Consider the following 21,031-nt stretch of genomic DNA (forward strand, 5'->3'; position numbering starts at 1 on the left):
ACTAAAAATACAAAAATTACCTGGGTGTGGTGGCTCACACCTGTAGTTCCAGCTACTCGGGAGGCTGAGGCACAAGAATCACTTGAACCCAGGAGGTGGAGGTTGCTGTGAGCCAAGATTGCGCTACTGCACTCCAGCCTGGGTGACAGAGCAAAACTCCATCTCAAAAAAAAAAAAAAAAAAAGCGGGGGGGAACTGTATGGTACATATAAATTGTATCTCAATAAACCTGCGTTTTGAACAAAAGCTCTGGGGAAACTATTACACATGAAACAGAGAATTCTGTGAATTGAAATCCTTTTTTCCTTCCCAGCACCGACAGTAAATGGTTCACGGCCGACATCATGTCCATAGGGGTGAATTGTACACAGATCACAGCAACAGAGTGTGACTTCACTGCCGCCAGTCCCTCAGCAGGCTTCCCAATGGATTTCAATGTCACTCTACGCCTTCGAGCTGAGCTGGGAGCACTCCATTCTGCCTGGGTGACAATGCCTTGGTTTCAACACTATCGGAATGGTAAGAGAACTTGAGTATAGAACTTCCTTTATACTTTCCAGGTTTTCTTCACTTGCGGTATCGACTCCACACACCTCTGTCCTGCCTGTCACCCTAAATGACCAGCAGACAAATGGGTAGGACAGTCAAACCCACACTCTGACCTTGGAGGCTGATGCTAAGGGAGTGTGATTTGCTAAACCAGGGGTTGGCCAACTACAGCCTGCAGGCCAAATCGGGCCCACCACTTGTTTTTGTAAATAAAGTTTTATTGGAACACACAGTTACATCCATCTTTTATTGTGTCTATGACTGCTTTCACACTACAATGGTAGAGTAGTTGCAATAGCAGCTGTTGAGCCTGCAAAGTCTAAATTTACTGTGGCTCTTTACTGAAAAAGTTTGCCAACCTCATGCTAGAAGGGATGCTAGCATATCTCTCTGATCACCCTTACTTATTCTGGTGCAACTTCTTTTGTGTTGCAGAATAGGCACCTTGAATGGTGCCTGGCATGTAGTAGGTATTCAGTAAATATTTGTTGAATGACTGAGTGAACAAATATGTCCCCAGATATTGGAAGGAGACAGAAGAACCCTCAGATTCCAGTTCCTACATTTGTTCCTCCAGTAATTCATTTGTCACGTAGTCAGCCATGCCAGATGTTTCTTCCGTGTCTGGTTTATGCACACACAGGGCATGAAACTTACATGGATCTTGATTTAGACAAACTAATGTATAAGACAATTGAAATGTGATCACCGTCTAGATATTTGATATATAATGAACAATTTTATTGTTGACTTATTTTCAGTGTTATAATGGTGTTTTGGTTATGATTTTTAAAGGAGGAGGAGGTCTGGTTAAGATGTTAAAGTTTATGTTATGTGTATTTTACCACAATAAAAAATTGGGGGAATAAAAAGAGTTCCTGCTGGGCGCGGTGGCTCACGCCTATAATCCCAGCACTTTGGGAGGCCGAGGCAGGCAGATCACTTGAGGTCAGGAGTTCGAGACCAGCCTGGCCAACATGGTGAAACCCCATCTCTACTAAAAACACAAAAATTAGCTGGATGTGGTGGTGCATACCTGTAATCCCAGCTACTTGGGAAGCTGAGGTAGGAGAATCGCTTGAACCGGGGAGGCAGAGGTTGTGGTGAGCTGAGATTGCACCATTGCACTCCAGCCTGGGCAACAAGAGTGAAACTCCATCTCAAAAAAAAAAAAAAAAAAAAAAAAAGCAAAATAATCCAAAGAACAGGAGGGACAAGGACAAAGCTTCCAGGCATAGAAGAAACAAAATTGGCCATAAGTTGACAGTTGATTCAGTTGGGTAATTAGTACATGAGTGTTTGTTAATGATCTTCCCTCTACTTTTTTTTTTTTTTTTTTTTTGAGACGGAGTCTCTCTCTCTTGCCCAGGCTGGAGTGCAGTGGCGCAATCTTGGCTCACTGCAAGCTCCACCTCCCAGGTTCACGCCATTCTCCTGCCTCAGCCTCCCGAGTAGCTGGGACTACAGGCGCCCGCCACCACACCCGGCTAATTTTTTGTATTTTTAGTAGAGATGGGGTTTCACCATGTTAGCCAGGATGGTCTTGAACTCCTGACCTTGTGATCCGCCCGCCTCGGCCTCCCAAAGTGCTGGGATTACAGGCGTGAGCCACCGCACCCAGCCTATCTTCTCTCTACTTTCTATGTGTTTGAAATTTTCTGTAATAAAAAGTTTTTTTTTGTTGTTGTTGTTTTTGAGGTGGAGTCTTGCACTGTCGCCCAGGCTGGCGTGCAGTGGTGCAGTCTCGGCTCACTGCAACCTCTGCCTCCTGGGTTCAAGTGATTCTCCCTCCCGGGTTCAAGTGAGCCTCCCAAGTAGCTGGGACTACAGGTGCACGCCACTATGCCCGTCTAATTTTTTGTATTTTTAGTAGAGACGGGATTTCACCATGTTGTCCAGGCTGGCCTCTAACTCCTGACCTCGTGATCCGCCCATCTCAGCCTCCCAAAGTGCTAGGATTACAGGCGTGAGAGCCACCGTGCCCGGCCAATAAAAAGTTTTTTAGAGAGGATCATGCCTGTAATCTTAGCCCATTGGGAGGCTGAGGTGGGAGGATCGCTTGAGCTCAGGAGTTCAAGATGAGCCTGGGGAATATAGCAAGACCCCATCTCTATTTTTTTTTTTTTTTAATCAGTGGTTTGTGCTAGGTACTGTGAGGGACAGAAACAGAGAAGACAGGGCAATCCTGCCAGCTCCTCGTCTGCTGTGGACAAGCCATTTGTCCTTGGGTGCCAAACCACCCTCCATTTGAGCTATAAAGTGTCAAATAAGTGGGAATTAGGAGTATGCAAACAAGTAATGATGGCTGGGCGCAGTGGCTCACCCCTGCAATCCCAGCACTTTGGGAAGCTGAGGCAGGCAGATCATCTGTGGTCAGGAGTTCAAGACCAGTCTGGCCAACATGGTGAAACCCCATCTCTACTAAAAATACAAAAGTTAGCCGGGTATGATGGCACACGACTGTAATCCCAGCTACTTGGAAGGCTGAGGCAGGAGAATCTCTTGAACCTGGGAGGTGGAGGTTGCAGTGGGCCAAGATGACACCATTGCACATCAGCCTGGGTGACAGAGCGAGGCTCTGTCATTTAAAAAAAAAAAGGAATGATACTTACCGCCACTGCCCAGGGATCAAGAGAAGGTAACAGAAGCAGGATGTATCGTGACAGTGGGTCCGGTGCCAGCCAGCTGCCGCTTCCGGCCGGAGTCAAGCACCCATGTTTCTGTTAGTTACTGGCTGGGCTGCTGTTCTCTGCCCTCGTGCTTGAAAAGCTTGACACAGTGGTGGTCTCATGTCACATCTGCCACTTTCACCTCTGCTGGTGGCGTTAGAATCAGTAATGGATATGGAGGTGGTTTACCAAGCAGAGGAGTGAGATGGTGGTTGGAGGGGGCAGGCTTTAGCATCACCCTCACCTGGGTTCATATCCCAACTCTGCCATTTATTGGCTGTGTTACTGTGGGCAAGTAGTGTCACCTCCTGGCTTCCGTTTCCTCGTCTGAGAAATGGGGATAACCTTATTTGTTTTTTTGTTTTGTTTTGTTTTTTGAGACAGTCTCGCTCTGTCGCCCAGGCTGGAGTGCAGTGGAGCGATCTCAGTTCACTGCAGCCTCCGCCTCCAGGTTTAAGTGATTCTCGTGCCTCAGCCTCCCCAGTAGCTAGGATTACTGGCATGGGCCACCACACCCCAGTTAATTTTGGTTTTGTTTTTGTGAGATGGAGTTTCACTCTTGTCACCCGGGCTGGAGTGCAGTGGCCCGATCTCGGCTCACTGCAACCTCTGCCTCTCAGGTTCAAGCGATTCTCCTGCCTCAGCCTCCTGAGTAGCTGGGATTACTGGCATGCACCACCATGCCCCACCATGCCCAGCTAATTTTTGTATTTTTAGTAGAAACGGCATTTCTCCATGTTGGCCAGACTGGTCTTGAACTCCTGACCTCAAGTGATCTGCCCACCTCAGCCTCCCAAAGTGCTGGGATTACAGGTATGAGCCACCATGCCCATCCCGTGATACCCTTATTTGGCAGTGACACTGATCGTGAGAGGCTTCGTGGAAAGGCCATTTACCTGGAGACTCCACACATTGTCGTCCAGTGTTCCCTAGAGCCAGCCTTCCTCCAGTGCTGTGAGAGGAGGCAGATTGTTCTCGCCTCTAGATGAGGTTTACTGGGTTCATGTCAGATTCCGGGCCAGGACTCTCTTCAGAAGGGCAGGTCTGAGCCCTGTGTTTTCAGCCGTGCAGTGGCCAGCTGTGGCTGGTGTCCACACTCCCATGTGCTAATGGAGATGCCCAAAGAATGTGTCCAAAGCCAGTCCCTGCAGGTGCTTCTGCAACGCACTTCTGCACACTCTGCTCACTTAGCTGGGACAAGGGAAGCTGGAGAACGTGTGTGCTGGTGTCCCTGGGCAGGCTGAGTGGAAGAGCATTTTGTCACTAGCAGTCAATCCACAAACATCACTATGGCTGGTGGTGGGCCAGGCCTGACCTCACTTCTGCCACTGGGAGTTGTCTGGACTTAGCACCTCCACCAGAACAAATGAGGGGGCACAACTACAAACTCAGCAGTTCTTTTGCACAGAGAGAAGCTTGGCCAGATCATACACCTAACCCTCACCAACCTGGAGTGCCCAGGGGAGAGAATCCAGCCCTGCTGTTGTGAACACACAGTGACAGGATTGTCTCCTTGTGTAAAATGTGCAGACATTGGTCTCTTAGAACTTCGAGGACCCAAACTGTACTTTGATCTGAGTTTCTCTGGTGAATTATACAATGTGCATGCTTACTTAATAAATGCTTGATAACCCCTCATTGATAGCACATCATGAGTCACAGTCCTAGCCTGACCTGTGAATTATATGAAAAGCCTGAACAAATAGACTTACATGGCAACACTTCTCAGTTATTGTGTTTAAATATAGTATGGGCATGGTGCTCACGCCTGTAATCCCAGCACTTTGGGAGGCCAAGGCAGGCGGATCACCTGAGGTCAGGAGTTTGAAACCAGCCTGGCCAACATAGTGAAACCCTGTCTCTACTAAAAATACAAAAATTAGCCGGGTATGGTGGCGTGTGCCTGTAATCCCAGCTACATGAGAGGCTGAGGCAGGAGAATCGCTTGAACCTGGAAGGCGGAGGTTGCAGTGAGTTGAGATTGCACCACTGCACTCCAGCCTGGGTGATATGTGCGAGATTCCATCTCAAAAATGAATAAATAAATAAATAGGCCAGGCGCGGTGGCTCACACCTGTAATCTCAGCACTTTGGGAGGCTGAGGTGGGCGGATCACGAGGTCAGGAGTTCGAGAACAGCCTGGCCAACATGATGATACCCTGTTTCTTCTAAAAATATAAAAATTAGCCAGGCATGGTGGCACACGCCTGTTGTAATCCCAGCTACTTGAGAGGCTGATGCAAGAGAATTGCTTGAGCCCGGGAGGTGGAGGTTGCAGTGAGCCGAGATCGCACAACTGCACTCTAGCCTGGGCGACAGAGCAAAACTGTCTCGAAAAAATAATAATAAATAAAGAGATAGATAAAAACGTGTGTGTATATATCTACACCCACTATATATATATATATACATATATATATAGCATTATATAATACATTGTATTATATCTATAATACATATGTGTATGTGTGTGGTTTTCTCTTTGTAATTCTTTTTCAGTGACTGTCGGGCCTCCAGAAAACATTGAGGTGACCCCAGGAGAAGGCTCCCTCATCATCAGGTTCTCCTCTCCCTTTGACATCGCTGATACCTCCACGGCCTTTTTTTGTTATTATGTCCATTACTGGGAAAAAGGAGGAATCCAACAGGCAAGAGCATCTTTCTTTTTTGTTTGGATTTTCTTTTCTTTGCAGTTTCTGGCTTAGCAAAAGAAAGAAACCTTTAACATGGGCAAGAACAGGGTGTCTCCATGTCCCCGTGTCCCCATAGAGGCTGAGCCCTGAGCCTGTTTTCATTGTCCTCTTCAAGACCTGTTTTTCCACTCGGTTTGCTGAGACCTCCCTCCGCCAGGCTGATCTGAAGGGCCAGCCATCCTTTGATGTCACTCTGTGTCCCTTGTGTGGGGTTGAGACTTTGCCGGTGCCCTGCTTACGATGCCTTTGCCACGCTCTGTAGTTTGGAGGAGGTTTTAGTGGGCCTGGTTCTCCATGAGGAATCCACAACTACAGCCTGCAAGGCTTAACTGTATAAATGTTTGAACAGTTTGTGAAAAGGGCACATGCGAAATCGGGGGGAAACAGAGGGAGAAAGAGCTTTCCAGAGAGCAGTACCAGCAGGTATGAGAAGGCGTGGCATACGTGGAGAACTGCAGGTGCTTAGATTGGTCAGAAATGCAATCCACAAGGGGCTGTGGCAGGTGCTCACGTTGACAGAGGTGCATGACATCAGAGCGGCCTGGTCAGCCTCGGGGAGTATAGGAAAAAGCATCATGGTCTTGAAGCATCTCCAGTGCCTAAATTATCCTAGCTGCATTTAAGGAGGTTCTGTTATCTATGGGAACTTCATGATTTCCTAAATTCAACATTATGATGGTTTTTGATAATAAGAGCTTACATTTATTGAGAGCTTCCTTTGTGTTTGGCTCTGGGCCAGAATTTTAGATACTTCATCTCATTTCATCTTTTTTTTTTTTTTTTTTTTGAGCTGGAGTTTCGCTCTTGATGCCCAGCTAGTTTTTGTATTTTTAGTAGAGACAGGGTTTTTACCACGTTGGTCAGGCTGGTCTCAGACTCCTGACCTCAGGTGATCTGCCCACCTTGGCCACCCAAAGTGCTGGGATTACAGGCATGAGCCACCGTGCCCGGCCCATTTCATCTTTATACTAATCCGTTTGCAGAGAGAGAATCCAAGTCGTTAAGTGGCTTGCCTCAGGTCAGCAGCGAATCACTGGCAGAGCAGAGCAGAGCAGAGATGCCTAGCTTCAGAGCCCTGCTCTTGACCACCATCTTTTTCTGCCACACGCTTTGTATCTGCACTTCTCCTTCATTTTTTTTTTTTTTTTAATTATTGTTCTTTTTTTGAGACAGTCTCACTGTCGCCCAGGCTAGAGTACTGTGGTACCATCTTGGCTCACTGCAACCTCTACCTCCCCGGCTCAAGCAGTCCACCCACTTCAGCCACCCGAGTAGCTGGAACTACAGGCCTGTGCCAACCACACCTGGCTAATATTTTTAAATTTTTTTTTATAGAGATGGGGTTTTGCCATGTTGCCCAGGCTGGTCTCGAACTCCTGGTCTCAAGCGATCTGCCCACCTCAGTCTCCAAAAGTGCTGAGGTTACAGGCATGAGCCCGTTCCCAGCCTCCTCTTCATTTCATTATGGGGAATATGAAACTGGGAAGAGTGAGACTCACTGAAAAACAGACTTAGCATCTAGGAAATAGGGAAAAATCATTTCTCCATATCAGAGCTCAAGATCTGGGTCGATTAGAATAGAGGGAGCCTGGCAGAATCCAGAAGAGAGACTCTGCCTCTTCCAAGTCTGTCCTCTCCAACTGGATACGGTGCCGGAAATGCAAGAGATAGGATGGGCCCTCTGGCCACGCTTTTCTCCACCCTTTGGTTGCTTTCTTCACTCGAGGGCACCGTGTTGCCATGCTCCCTCCCCAAGGGCCCGCCCATACTTTTGTTTTTTTAGGATGGAGTCCATCCACTTCTCTGCACTGAGTCAGCCCCCAGAGGGCGAGTTGCCACTTGTATCCTAGAGCTGGGCAGGGCTGCCCAGCACTGGAGAACTCAGCTCCAGGACCCTGGGGCCAGCCTTGTTGAGCAGCAAGCTCTAATGAAGAGCACACAGAACAGGCTTCCACTGCCTGGGACCCGCTTAGCACCATGTCACTTAGCCTCTCTGGGCTGCAGCTTCCTCGTGTATAAAATGAAACAACTGAGCTATAAGCTGGAGCCTGTGAAGAGGAGCAGCCGTGAGGGCCCCCAAGTCCCTTTCCTCCATTTGACCAGAGCATCTGTACTTGGCTTCCATGATCAAAAGGTTCAAGGATGAAAATGACTCTGAAAGCCACCAATGTGATCTTTGTTCCAGCTGTGAGTCTGTGTGTTAGGGTCCCCAAGACCCACCCTAGATCGCTCAAAGGACTCCCAGGACTCAGCACAGAGTCACACTCTGATTTCGTTTTGAGACAGAATTTCACTCTGTCTCCCAGGGTAGAGTGCAGTGCCACAATCTCGGCTCACGGGTTCAAGAGATTTTCCTGTCTCAGCCTCCACATCTGTGCCTGGCCCATACTCTGATTTTTTATAGCAAAAGGATGCAAAGCAAAATCGGCAAAGGGAAGAGGCACATGGAGGAAAGTCCGCAGGTGTCCAGGGGTAGGCTTCCAGGAGCCCTTCCTGAGCTGAGTCACGCAGGATACACTTCATTGCTCCACCAGCAAGCTGTGACTGCACATGTGAACTGTTGTCTGCCAGGGAGGCTTATGAGAGACCCAGCGCCCAGGGCTTTTTCTGGGGGCTGGCCACATACGCACCCTCTGTGTAGCGTATGCCAAAATTCCGACTCCCAGAAGGAAAACAGATGTTCCTCATAAAGAAAACACATTGTGCAAACAGTGTAGGGACGGTAAGCCACCTTACCAGTTTGGGAATGGGAGGGATAAACTTGAAATCCAAATTCCCAGGCTGGGCGCGGTGGCTTACGCCTGTAATCCCAGCACTTTGGGAGGCCGAGGCAGGCAGATCACTTGAGGTCAGGGGTTCGAGACAGGCCTGGCTAGCATGGTGAAAACCCATCTCTACTAAAAATACAAAAATTAGCCAGGCGTGGTGGTGGGCACCTGTGATCCCAGTTACTCAGGAGGCTGAGGCAGGAGAATTGCTTGAACCTGGGAGGCAGAGGTTGCAGTGAGTCGAGATCACACTACTGCACTCCAGCCTGGGCAACGGAGCAAGACTCCGTCTCAAAAAACAAACAAACAAAAAACGCACACAAATTCCCAGATGTCAGCTAAGGGTTGACCTGGAAATCAGGCCCTTCAAAGGGCATTAGTGTTAGGCCTGTTACGTTAGCTCTTCTGCAGTCTGTGACTCTAAATTTTAGGAATTCCAATTGAATGCTGAAATAAACCCAAAGGGAATTTTTGTCCTTAAAATCGTGTCTTCCTCTGCCCTGGCAGTCCAACACCATTAAACAGAAGAAAAGAAAATGTAAAACCATCAAGTAATACTATTATTCATAGATCATACAATTACTTTTATATTTTTATTTTTTAATTTTAATTTTTCAGAGACAATTTCACTCTGTCACCCAGGCTGGAGTGCAGTGGTGCAGTCATAGCTCACTGTAGCCTCCAATTCACAGGCTCAAGCCATCCTCCCACTTTGGCCTTCCGAGTAGCTGGGACTTATAGGCATGCACCACCATGACCAGCTTATTTTTTTATTATTATTTTCTGTAGAGACGGAGGGAGGGGGTCTCACTATGTTACCCAAGCTCAAACTCCTGGACTCAAGTGATCCTCCCACCTCAGCCTCCCAAAGTGCTGGAATTACAGGCATGAGCCACCATGCCTGGCCTATTTTTGTATTTTAAAAAATAACAACATGTTCTGTATTTGAATAATCTGCCTTTTTTCAGTTAACAATTTAGCAGCCTTGTCTTCCCATGTTTTCAAGCATATGTTATACCACCATTTCATGTGGCTGTAGTGGATTATATTGTATCTCAAAATTAGAAAACAGTTCTTTGCAAGAAACCCTATACTGCCATAATAGGGTATCGCTGTTTTCCACTTTGGTATGGGACAATGACAGCCTTGCCAGGACAACAGGAGCCATTGCCTGGAAGACCAGGTGGGGAGGCAGCAAGGCCTGCTCAAGGCAGCAGAGGGATGCGCAGAGGAGACACAGAACCTTCCTAGAGTCTAGGGTCCAGTTGTCTCCTGATGACATAAATCCTTAAGGTCATTTTAGCTGAAACTATAGGAGGCTCAAGCACATTTCGGTCAAACTAGAAGCAGGTTGGGAATGAAAGGAACATTATTTCCCAGAATAATTTTTTCTCTGTTGACTAACTTGAGGTATCTAGATTAACCGTGAGATACAAAATGTTGGCCAGGCGCGGTGGCTCACGCCTATAATCCCAGCACTTTGGGAGGCCGAGGCAGGTGGATCACCTGAGATCAGGAGCTCGAGACCAGCCTGGGCAACATGGTGAAACCCTGTTTCTACTAAAAATACAAAAATGAGCCAGACATGATGGTGGGTGTCTATAATCCCAACTACTCAGGAGTTGGAGGCAGGAGAATTGCTTGAACCTGGGAGGCGGAGGTTGCAGTGAGCCGAGGTCGCACCATTGCGGTCCAGCCTGGTGACAGAGCGAAACTCCATCTCAAAAAAAAAAAGAAATACAAAATGTTTGTTTTGAGATGGAGTCTTGCTCTTCATCCAGGCTGGCGCAATCTCAGCTCACTGCACCCTCTGCCTCCTGGTCCAAGTGATTCTCCTCCCTCAGCCTCCCATGTAGCTGGGATTACAGGTGTGTGCCACCACATCCAGCTAATTTTTGTACTTTTAGTAGAGACTGGGTTTTGCAATGTTGGCCAGGCTGGTCTCTTAACTCCTGACCTCAGGTGATCCACCCACCCTGGCCTCCCAAAGTGGTGGGATTATAGGCGTGAGCCACCCCATCCAGCCCAAAATGTTAAAGGAGAAAAAGATTATCCTAGAAATTGGGATTTACTGAAGTCTAGTTACTACAATGGGCACTCTGAGACCTCACAGCCAGAAACACAGTTCTAAAGCTATCAGCCTCTTTGGCCACACAACACACCAATTTTCACACATAAAATGTGTCCACTGCCAGCCAGTGACCCACTAAAAATGGCATCTTGTTCTTCTTTGGTTGTCGTGTTCACAGTGAATTTGAGGAAACATCAGAAAAGATGTAGGCAGCTTGGCCATGTTCATTTACATGTGTGCTTGTGATGTTTTTAAAACAGGTCAAAGGCCCTTTCAGAAGCAACTCCATTTCATTGGATAACTTAAAACCCTCCAGAGTGTACTGTTTACAAGTCCAGGCACAACTGCTTTGGAACAAAAGTAACATCTTTAGAGTCGGGCATTTAAGCAACATATCTTGCTACGAAACAATGGCAGATGGTAAAATATACCTTCTTATGTCCTTTCTGAACTGGGAAAAGAATACTCCTCCAATAGTGAAATCGGGGAATGCTTATGAGGTCATGGGTGGTGGGAGTGGGGAGACCCAGTGAGAAGAGTGCTGAACTGCAGGAATAATGAGCTTGTGCTGAGATTTGCAGTAGTGGAGGCTACCAGACAGCTACCACTTGCTTTATTTCATTACAGGATTGACTTTAGCTATTAATGTAAGCATACCAGGTGAGGGTGGGGGGTAGAGGGACTTGCCCATTTTACTAGGACAGGAATGCTCTTTAAGCAGCATGGATGGAACATTAACTGATGTTTGTGTTGTGCGTAGGAAGATCATTCTGTTCACTTTCGTGTCCTCTTTTTAGCCTCCACTGAGCTTCAGCAAGTCATCCTGATCTCCGTGGGAACATTTTCGTTGCTGTCGGTGCTGGCAGGAGCCTGTTTCTTCCTGGTCCTGAAATATAGAGGCCTGATTAAATACTGGTTTCACACTCCACCAAGCATCCCATTACAGATAGAAGAGGTACGTGTGCACACATCTCTTTTTTTTTTTTTGAGACAGGGTCTTGCTCTGTTGCCCAGGCGGGAGTGTCATGGTACAATCTCTGCTCACTGCAGCCTCCATCTCCCAGGTTCAAGCGATTCTCCTGCCTCAGCCTCCTGAGTAGCTGGTATTACAAGTGCTCACCACCATGGCCTGCTAATTTTTGTATTTTTGGTAGAAACAGGGTTTTGCTATGTTGGCCAGACTGGTCTCAAACTCCTGACCTCAAGTGATCCACCCACCTCAGCCTCCCAAAGTGCTGGGATTACAGGCGGGAGCCACTGCGCCCGGCCACGCAGACATCTTAATGGTGACACATCAGGGCCCCACTGCCCCTGGCAACCCCTAAGAGTGCAGCTGTGGGCAAAGCCGTGGACACAGAGATTTGGGTTACAAATGGTATGGGGTTGTTTGTACACCCATGTTCATGTTGACACGATTCACAACAGCCAAAAGGTGGAAGCACTCCGGTGTCGTTGAAGGATTAATAGATAAATCTTTAATAGATGGTCTTTCCATACAATGGAATATCATTCAGCCTTAGAAAGGAAGGGGATTGTGACACATCCTACCACACACATGGACCTTGAGGACATTATGCTGAGTAGAGTAGGGCAGTCACAAAAGGATACTGTCTGCTTCCACTTAAATGAGGTCCCCAGAGTCATCAAATCCATAAAGACAGGAAGTAGAATGGTGGTTGCGGTGGTGGAGGGAGGGAAGTGGGAAGTTCGTGTTGAATGGGGCCAGAGTTTCAGTTCTGGGGCTGTACAGAGTTCTGGAGATGGATGGTGGTCATGATTGCACAATGTGAATGTGCTTGGCACTACCGAACTGTACACCTAAAAAGAGTTATGATGGTACATTTTATGTTATGTGTATTTTACCACAATTTAATTTTTTTTTTTTAATGGCATGGGGTTGGCTAAAAAGGTGGCCTGGCCTGGAGATTGGCTGCAGTAGACCCCTCTCCGAGGCAGCAGGTCTCCTCTGCTGTCTGGAGAATGCTCCAGGGAAGTGGCCTGGCTGGAGGACGTGAAGGCGGTGGAGACAGTGATCAGGAGCTTGAGCTTTGGGGCCCACAGGGTGCTTAGGAGGGCCCTAAGGCAGAGTCAACACCCAGAGCTGTGAGTGCCAGGCCCCGTGTACCCATTGCCCAGTGGGTATTGCTAATATTTGAAAGGACTTGAGAAAGAACAGTAGCGTGGGTCTTGTGGAAAGTCTTATTTTCCTGCATAACCCCAGCCCCCTGAGGCTCTGTGAGGCCATTGGGCCTTCTGAGGACACGGTCAGGACATTTTGGGGATCAGAGGCGAGCTGAGAGAAGAACATTTAAAAAGCATTTGCAGCCGGGCGCAGTGACCCACACCTGTAATCCCAGGACTTGGGGAGGCCAGGGTGGGCAGATCACCTGAGGTCAGGAGTTCGAGACCAGCCTGGCCAACATGGTGAAACCCTGTCTCTACCAAAAATACAAAAATTAGCCGGGCGTGGTGGTGGGCGCCTGTAATCCCAGCTACATGAGAGGCTGAGGCAGGAGAATTGCTTGAACCCAGGAGGTGGAAGTTACAGTAAGCCAATATCGCACCATAGCACTTTAGCTTGGGTGGCAGAGCAAGACTCCATCTCAAAAAAATAAAATAAATAAAAAGCATTTGCTTCTGGAGGCTTCACATTATTCTTGGGTAAACCTAGAGTAAAGGTGTTGGAAGCAGAATGTTACTCAGTTACATGTGGGATGAACAGAGGTTAGATAAGGTCCAAGTCTGCAGAAACATAGCAGCACTTTCAGAAAGAACCCTAGTCACTTGTTCCTTCATCTGCCATGATGTATTGTAGGTACACAGGCAGTATACAGATTCCCTACTAGAACCTCCCTGGTTAATATTGTCACAAAATCACAGCTCCTAACAGGTCTCAGAATCTTACTTGCAGTAATAATCTCTCTCTCTCCTGGTAGAACTACCAGCTGAGCCCCAGTACATGAATATACTATGAGTCATTCCTCTGAGACATGAACAGAAAACACAGGCCTGTCAGTTCACTTTTCTAGGAAAGCATAAAGAACATCCGCCAAAGGTCTCTGAGTTACATGGGAACAGTGAATCATGTTTCACTTATAATTCTGGGGTTTCACAAGGGTACATGTTTTGGTTTTGTTCCTCTTTCAGTCAGTCAGCTACAAGCTTATTGTCTTCCAGTATCTTTCAGCATTTCCAAGAGCTAGACACTAGATTCTTGGTAACTTGGTGAATCTATGGCTAAGCCTAAAGCCTGCGGGAGCAAAAGGGAAATTAATCGCTGGGAAACACCCCTTTATATGTTAAGGCCTAAGGCCCTCGCTCCCAGATTCTCTGCTTGCTGTGCGCTGGTGCAAGGGGAGGGGTGGAGGAGTGCCTGAGACCAATGCTTGTGAACTTGCCCTCTTTTTCCCCATCACAGCTGAACAAGAGCCCCCAGTCCCTCCTTCACTGAAAGGTTACAATTTTAGAGACGTCTTAAGATTAATAACCCACAGGCCTACACTGAGGGTTGCAAGGAAGAACTTGCTTTTCTTCCAATCAGAAAATCAGAAGAAAAAAACAAAACTTGCTTTTCCTGAGTTTTGCCCTTTTAAACTCTCAGCATATTAACATGGTCAGCCCTGGGATGAGTATTAAAGTGATTACTGAGATGAGGGGTAAGGAGTATTCAACTATTAGAAGTTGTTGGCTGGGTGAGGTGGCTCATGCCTGTAATCCCAGCACTTTGAGAGGCCGAGGTGGGTGGATCATGAAGTCAGGAGATCGAGACCATCCTGGCCAACAGGGTGAAACCCTGTCTCTACTAAAAATACAAAAATTACCCAGGCATGGTGGCATGCGCCTGTAGTCCCAGCTACTTGGGAGGCTGAGGCAGGAGAATCACTTGAACCCAGGAGGCGGAGGCTGCAGTGAGCTGAGATCCACGCCACTGCACTCCAGCCTGGCAACAGAGCAAGACTCCGTCTCAAAAAAAAAAAAAAAAAAAAAAAAATTAGCCAGCCGTGGTGGTGCACGCCTGCAATCCTAGCTACTTGGTTGGGAAGCTGAGGCAGGAGAATTGCTTGAACCCAGGAGGCGGAAGTTGCAGTGAGCCGAGATCGCGCCACTGCACTCCAGCCTGGGCGAAAAAGAGACTGACTCAACAACAATAAAAAATTGTTGCCGGGTGCAGTGGCTCACACCTGCAATCCCAGCACTTTGGGAGGCCGAGGCGGGCGGATCACCTGAGGTCAGGAGTTCGAGACAGCCTGACCAACATGGGAAACCCCGTCTCTACTTAAAATACAAAATTAGCAGGGTGTGGTGGTGCATGCCTGTAATCCCAGCTACTTGGGAGGCTGAGGCAGAGGTTGCAGTGAGATGAGATCGTGTCATTGCACTCCAGCCTGGGCAACAACGTGAAACTCCGTCTCAAAAAAAAAAAATTGTTTCATTGTTGAATAAAAAGAAAAATAAGTTATGTCATTGGTGGACAGAATCAACTTATATCTGAATAAAATAACTATACCAATTAAAACTAAAGTAGGCCAGGCGTAGTGGCTCACGCCTATAATCCCAGCACTTTGGGAGGCCAAGGTGGGTGGATCATTTGCGATCAGGAGTTTGAGACCAGCGTGGCCAACATAGTGAAACCCTGTCTCTACTAAAAATACAAAATTAGCCAGGCAAGGTGGTGGGCACCTGTAGTCCCAGCTACTTGGAGGATTGAGGCAGGAGAATCGCTTGAACCTGGGAAGCAGAGGTTGCAGTGAGCTGAGATCACACCACTATACTCCAGCCTAGGCAAGAGTAAGACTCCATCTCAAAAAAAAAATAAAAATAAAAATAAAATAAAAACAAAAACTAAAGTTAAAAGGTCTGGTATACTGAACTGGTAAACTAATTACAATTTTGCTTTCCAACCTCCTCAAGTATTTAAAAGACCCAACTCAGCCCATCTTAGAGGCCTTGGACAAGGACAGCTCACCAAAGGATGACGTCTGGGACTCTGTGTCCATTATCTCGTTTCCGGAAAAGGAGCAAGAAGATGTTCTCCAAACGCTTTGAACCAAAGCATGGGCCTAGCCCACTGGCTCCCTGGAAGAGATCAAGCCATCGGAGCTGCTAGAGTTCTGTCTGGACTTTCCAGAGACCAGTATTCCCTTTTGCTGCCTCTAAAAGGCCTGTCCCTGCAGACATGAGAGACAGCAGGTCTCATGGGGGTGACAAGCTTTTTTTTTTTTTCTTAAAGAATTTTCAAAATCAAATTCCAGAATGATTTTACGGAGATATCCCAGGAAAATTAAGGCTTCTCTTAAACACTAAAAAGGCATGTAATTGCTTGTTAGCAAAATGGATATGACACATCTCTGATACTTTTTTCATTATTGGTTGGGCTGAGCAGTCAGAAGACCTGGTCGTCGTCTTGACTTTGGCAAATGAGCCGGAGCCCCTTGGGCAGGTCACACAACCTGTCCCAGCGAGGGACACCGAGTGGCCCTTCATGTACATCCATGGTGTGCTGGCTTAAAATGTAATTAATCTTGTAAATATACTCCTAGTAATTTAAGATTTTGTTTTTAAACTGGAAATAAAAGATTGTATAGTGCATGTTTTTTAAAGTCTATGTGAAGTGTTTTCTTTATTGTAGCCTATTTTCTGCAGAGTTTCAGCTTTCTAAAATTACTCAATCTAAACTTGTTTTTTCTTAAATAACACCTGCTAGAGCTACTGAGGCCTCATGGGAACTCAGCAAACACTTCCTATGGATGTCACTTGATCCTCCAAAGGTTATAAAGAAGGCCAGGGCCTAGTGCAGTGGCCCACGCCTATAATCCCAGCACTTTGGGAGGCTGAGGTGGGTGGATCACTTGAGGCCAGGAGTTCTAGACCCACCTGGGCAACATGGTGAAACCCTGTCTCTATGAAAAATGCAAAAATTATCCAGGCATGATGACATGCACCTGTAGTCCCAGCTACTTGAGAGGCTAAAGTGGGAGGATGCTTTAGCCTGGGAGGCGGAGGTTACCATGAGCCGAAATGATGCCACTGCACTCCAGCGTGGGAGGCAGAGCGAGACCCTATCTCAAAAAAAAAAAAAAAAAGAGGGCTGGGCATGGTGGCTCATGCCTGTAATCCCAGCACTTTGGGAGGTCAAGATGGGAGGATCGCTTGAGGCCAGGAGTTTGAGAACAGCCTGGGCAACATAGTGAGACCTTGTTTTCACAAAAAATAAAAAATTAGCTAGTCGTGGTGGTGCACACCCGTAGTCCCAGCTACTCAGGAGGCTGAGACCAGAGGATCATTTGAGCCTAGGAGTTAGGAGTTCAAGGCTGCAGTGAGCAATGATTACACCACTACATTCCAGCCTTGGCAACAGAGCAAGAGACCCTGTCTCAAAAATATAAAAGTTATAAGGGGGATTTGCAGAAGGCACATTAGCACTTCATTTATATGTGACAAGTCACACTGTGTTGACCAAGGCAGGGATTTGTGGGCAATAAAGAGAATTAACTGATTAATCAATAGTAATGTTATCTACTGAGCACGCAAGTCATCTGATTGTGTCAGTACTGTCGGGCTCTGTTGTTCAAAGGATATGTATTTAAAATCCATTTATAGGCTGGGCACGGTGGCTCACACCTGTAATCCCAGCACTTTGGGAGGCCGAGGCAGGCAGATCACCTGAGGTCAGGAGTTCGAGACCAGCCTGGCCAACATGGTGAAAGCCTGTCTCCACTAAAAGCACAAAAATTAGCTGAGTGTGGTGGCAGGCACCTATAATCCCAGCTACATGGGAGGCAGTTGGGGCCCTGTACTGCTGGTAAGAAAGTGGCTTTTTTTTTTTCTTTTGAGACAGAGTCTCACTCTGTCGCCCAGGCTGGAGCGCAGTGGCGCGATCTCAGCTCGCTGCAACCTCCACCTCCCAGGTTCAAGCAATTCTCCTGCCTCAGCCTCCCGAATAGCTGGGATTACAGGCGTGCACCACTATGCCTGGCTAATTTTTGTATTTTTAGTAGAGATGGGGTTTCACCATGTTGGCCAGGCTGGTCTCGAACTCCTGACCTCATGATCCACCCACCTTGGTCTCCCAAAGGGTTGAGATCACAGGCGTGAGCCACCGTGTCCGGCAAAAGTGGCTAACTCTCTTAAGTGTTGTGTACCATGCTGTCTGCAGTGGCAAGAGTTAGAAAAACAAGGCCCACTCCCACCCCATGCACACAAGTCTCCCTGTGAAGCATCTGTTGTATGCATTAGGTGCACCTTAAGTAGACAAGTTTGGAGGAAGAAGTTGTAGATAGGAGTTGTAAAGACTTACCTTAGACCGTTCAGGAAATCGGAGACAGAAGAGCTTCTTCTGTTGGGCAGCAGGATGGTGGCCAGCGAGGAGTGGAGGATACATCTATAGCAGGAGAACAGGAAAGAGTTTCAGCCCAGCAGGACAGAGGGCAAATCAACTCTGTTAGGGTAAGTGCATCTGTGCCACCCCATTTATTTATTTAGAGACACAGTCTCACCCTGTTGCCCAGGCTGGAGCGCAGTGGCACAATCTCACTTCACTGCAACCTCTGCCTTCCGGGTTCAAGCGATTTTTGTGCCTCAGCCTCCAGAGTAGCTGGGATTACAGATGTGCGCCACCACACCCAGCTAATTTTTGTATTTTTAGTAGAGATGGGGTTTCACTATGTTGGTCAGGCTGGTCTCAAACTCCTGACCTCAGGTGATCCGCTCACCTCAGCCTCCCAAAGTGCTGGGATTACAGGTGTGAGCCACTGTGCCCAGCCTTAAATAGTATTTTCTGAAATGAAATGCCTCATTCTCCTTAGTAAAATAAATGACTAATTGATGGGATTAGTATTTACACTGTCAAGGCCAGGCGCAGTGGCTCACACCTGTAATCCGAGCACTTTGAGACCCTGAGGTGGGTGGATCATGAGGTCAGGAGTTTGAGACAAGCCTGGTCAACATGGCGAAAACCTGTTTCTATTAAAAATACAAAAATTAGCTGGGCGTGGTGGCTCACACCTGTAATCCCAGCTACTTGGGAAGCTGAGGCAGGAGAATCACTTGAGCCCGAGAAGCGGAGGTTGCAGTGAGCTGACATGGCACCTCTGCACTCCAGCCTGGGCAACAGAGCAAGACTCTGTCTCAAGAAAAATAAAGTCAAGCTAAGTACATTGTCAAAATTTTTGAGTTGGAAGCACTCTTATAAATAATCCGTTGACAGGGCATAATCCATAACCTACTTGCCAAATCAGCCCATTCCCTGTTTTTGTAAAACCCGTGTGCTAAGAATAGCTTTTACATCTTGGAATAGTTAAAGTCAAAAGAAGAATATTTCATCACACATGAAAATTCTATGATATTCAAATTTCACTGTTCATAAATATTTATTAGAACCCAGAAGGTAAGCTGCGTGTAGTGGTTCACACCTGTAATCCCAGCACTTTGGGAGGCTGAGGTGGGCGGATCATTTGAGGCCAGGAGTTTGAGACCAGCCTGACCAACATGGTGAAACACCGTCTCTACTAAAAATACAAAAATTAGCTGGGCATGGTGGTGCATGCCTGTAATCCCAGCTACTCAGGAGGCTGAGCGAAGGGAATTGCTTGAACCTGGGATGCAGAGGTTGCAGTGAGCAGAGATCGTGCCACTGCATGCCTGGTGACAGAGCGAGACTCTGTCTCAAAAATAATAATAAAATAGGCCGGGTGCGGGGGCTCACGCTTGTAATCCCAGAACTTTGGGAGGCTGAGGCAGGAGGGATCATGAGGTCAGGAGTTTGAGACCAGCCTGACCAACATGGTGAAACCCCGTCCCTACTAAAAATACAAAGATTAGCTGGGCGTGGTGATGTGTGCCTGTAATCCCAGCTACTCAGGAGGCTGAGGCAGGAGAATCACTTGAACCTGGGAGGCAGAGGTTGCAGTGAGCCAAGATTGCACCACTGCACTCCACCTGGGCGACAGAGCAAGACTCTGTCTCAAAAAATAATAATAAAATAAAATAACGTCTCTGTCCATAGTGTTTAAATCACATAAAATGGACTTCTGGCAGGGCACGGCGGCTCACACCTGTAATCCCAGCATTTTGGGAGGCTCAGGTGAGCGGATCGCCTGAGGTCAGGAGTTCAAGATCAGTCTGGCCAACAAGGTGACACCCTGTCTCTACTAAAAATACAAAAATCAGCCCAGCGCAGTGGCAGGTGCCTGTAATCACAGCTATTCAGGAGGCTGAGGCAGGAGAATCGGTTGAACCCACAAGGTGGAAGTTGCAGTGAGCCCAGATGACACCACTGCACCTCAACCTGGGCAACAGAGCAAGAATCTGTCTCAAAAAAAAAAAGGACTTCTTGGTACATAACATTTAAAGAAGCCTGCATAGTCACTATGGCCACTATGTCTTTGAAGTGCCACAACAGAGAGAGGCTCTCTGAAAGGAAATGATACTGATTTGGGAATAGGGTATTACAAGGGGAACACGTGTGCCAGAGTAAACTATGTACATATTTAGGAAGGTGAAGGAAAACAAAGGTTCTTAAAGGAAAAAATGAGGATTAGATCACTGTTTTAAGATAATTATCCTTGGCTATAAGGATCAATAGCAAGGGGGATGCCATTCCAAGGTTAGACAGGCAGTTGTTGGGCAGATGTCCTCATAGAAGTGTTTGTTGTGTAAGGCGGTGAAGGGCTTTGTGCAAGGTTGAGATTTTTGCAGTCTTTTGTGATCATTTTTATTTATTTATTTATTTAGAGACAGAGTCTTGCTCTGTCACCCAAGCTGGAGGGCAGTGATGCAATCACAGCTCACTGCAACGTCTGCCTCCTGGATTCAAGAAATTCTCCTGTCTCAGCCTCCTTAGTAGCTGGGACTACAGGCATCCGCCACCATGCCTGGCTAATTTTTTGTATTTTTAGTAGAGATGGGATTTTGCCATGTTGCCCAGGCTGGTCTTGAACTCCTGACCTCAAGTGATCCACCTGCCTCAACCTTCTAAAATGCTGGGATTACAGGCATGAGCCACCACGCCCGGCCTTGTGATCATTTTTGTTATCAAGCATTTTTGCATGAGAATCCTTCATGGCCTTCCCCAGCTCTATTTGTCAGGGTTTTTTATTTGTTTGCTTGTTTGTTTGAAGCACAAGTGACTCCATTTTGATTCTGACAACTTCCACACTATGCAGTCACATCTCTGAGGCGCCCAGAGCCCTTCAAAATATATTTGCTGTTTGCCAAATAGTCTCTATTTGAGATGAGAACATCCCCAGCTGTCCTTCTGTTTGATGAGAAGTGAGACTCCAC

General features: G+C 47.2%; 2 protein-coding genes across 4 annotated transcripts in view; one reads left to right on the forward strand and one right to left on the reverse strand.

The window, feature by feature from the left end:
* IFNGR2 (interferon gamma receptor 2) overlaps window positions 1-16,350 on the forward strand; it is a 34,635-nt gene extending 18,285 nt beyond the window's left edge. For both annotated transcript variants that reach the window (NM_001329128.2, NM_005534.4), the window contains 5 exons: window positions 314-519; window positions 5,718-5,866; window positions 11,011-11,170; window positions 11,548-11,705; window positions 15,662-16,350. In NM_001329128.2, coding sequence (NP_001316057.1) covers window positions 314-519; window positions 5,718-5,866; window positions 11,011-11,170; window positions 11,548-11,705; window positions 15,662-15,796 — 808 coding nt within the window. In that variant the 3' untranslated portion in view covers window positions 15,797-16,350. The remainder of the gene's footprint in view (window positions 1-313; window positions 520-5,717; window positions 5,867-11,010; window positions 11,171-11,547; window positions 11,706-15,661) is intronic.
* TMEM50B (transmembrane protein 50B) overlaps window positions 11,320-21,031 on the reverse strand; it is a 47,489-nt gene continuing 37,777 nt past the window's right edge. Inside the window, exons 8-10 of one of the 2 annotated variants that reach the window (XM_011529746.3) lie at window positions 18,048-18,131; window positions 15,717-15,826; window positions 11,320-11,636 (exon numbers count right to left, since the gene is read on the reverse strand). The gene's annotated coding sequence lies outside the window, so the exon portion shown is untranslated. The remainder of the gene's footprint in view (window positions 11,637-15,716; window positions 15,827-18,047; window positions 18,132-21,031) is intronic. The other variant, NR_040016.2, reaches the window with a different exon arrangement.

This window comes from Homo sapiens, chromosome 21 (genome assembly GCF_000001405.40).
Source record: "Homo sapiens chromosome 21, GRCh38.p14 Primary Assembly".
NCBI lineage: Eukaryota > Metazoa > Chordata > Mammalia > Primates > Hominidae > Homo > Homo sapiens.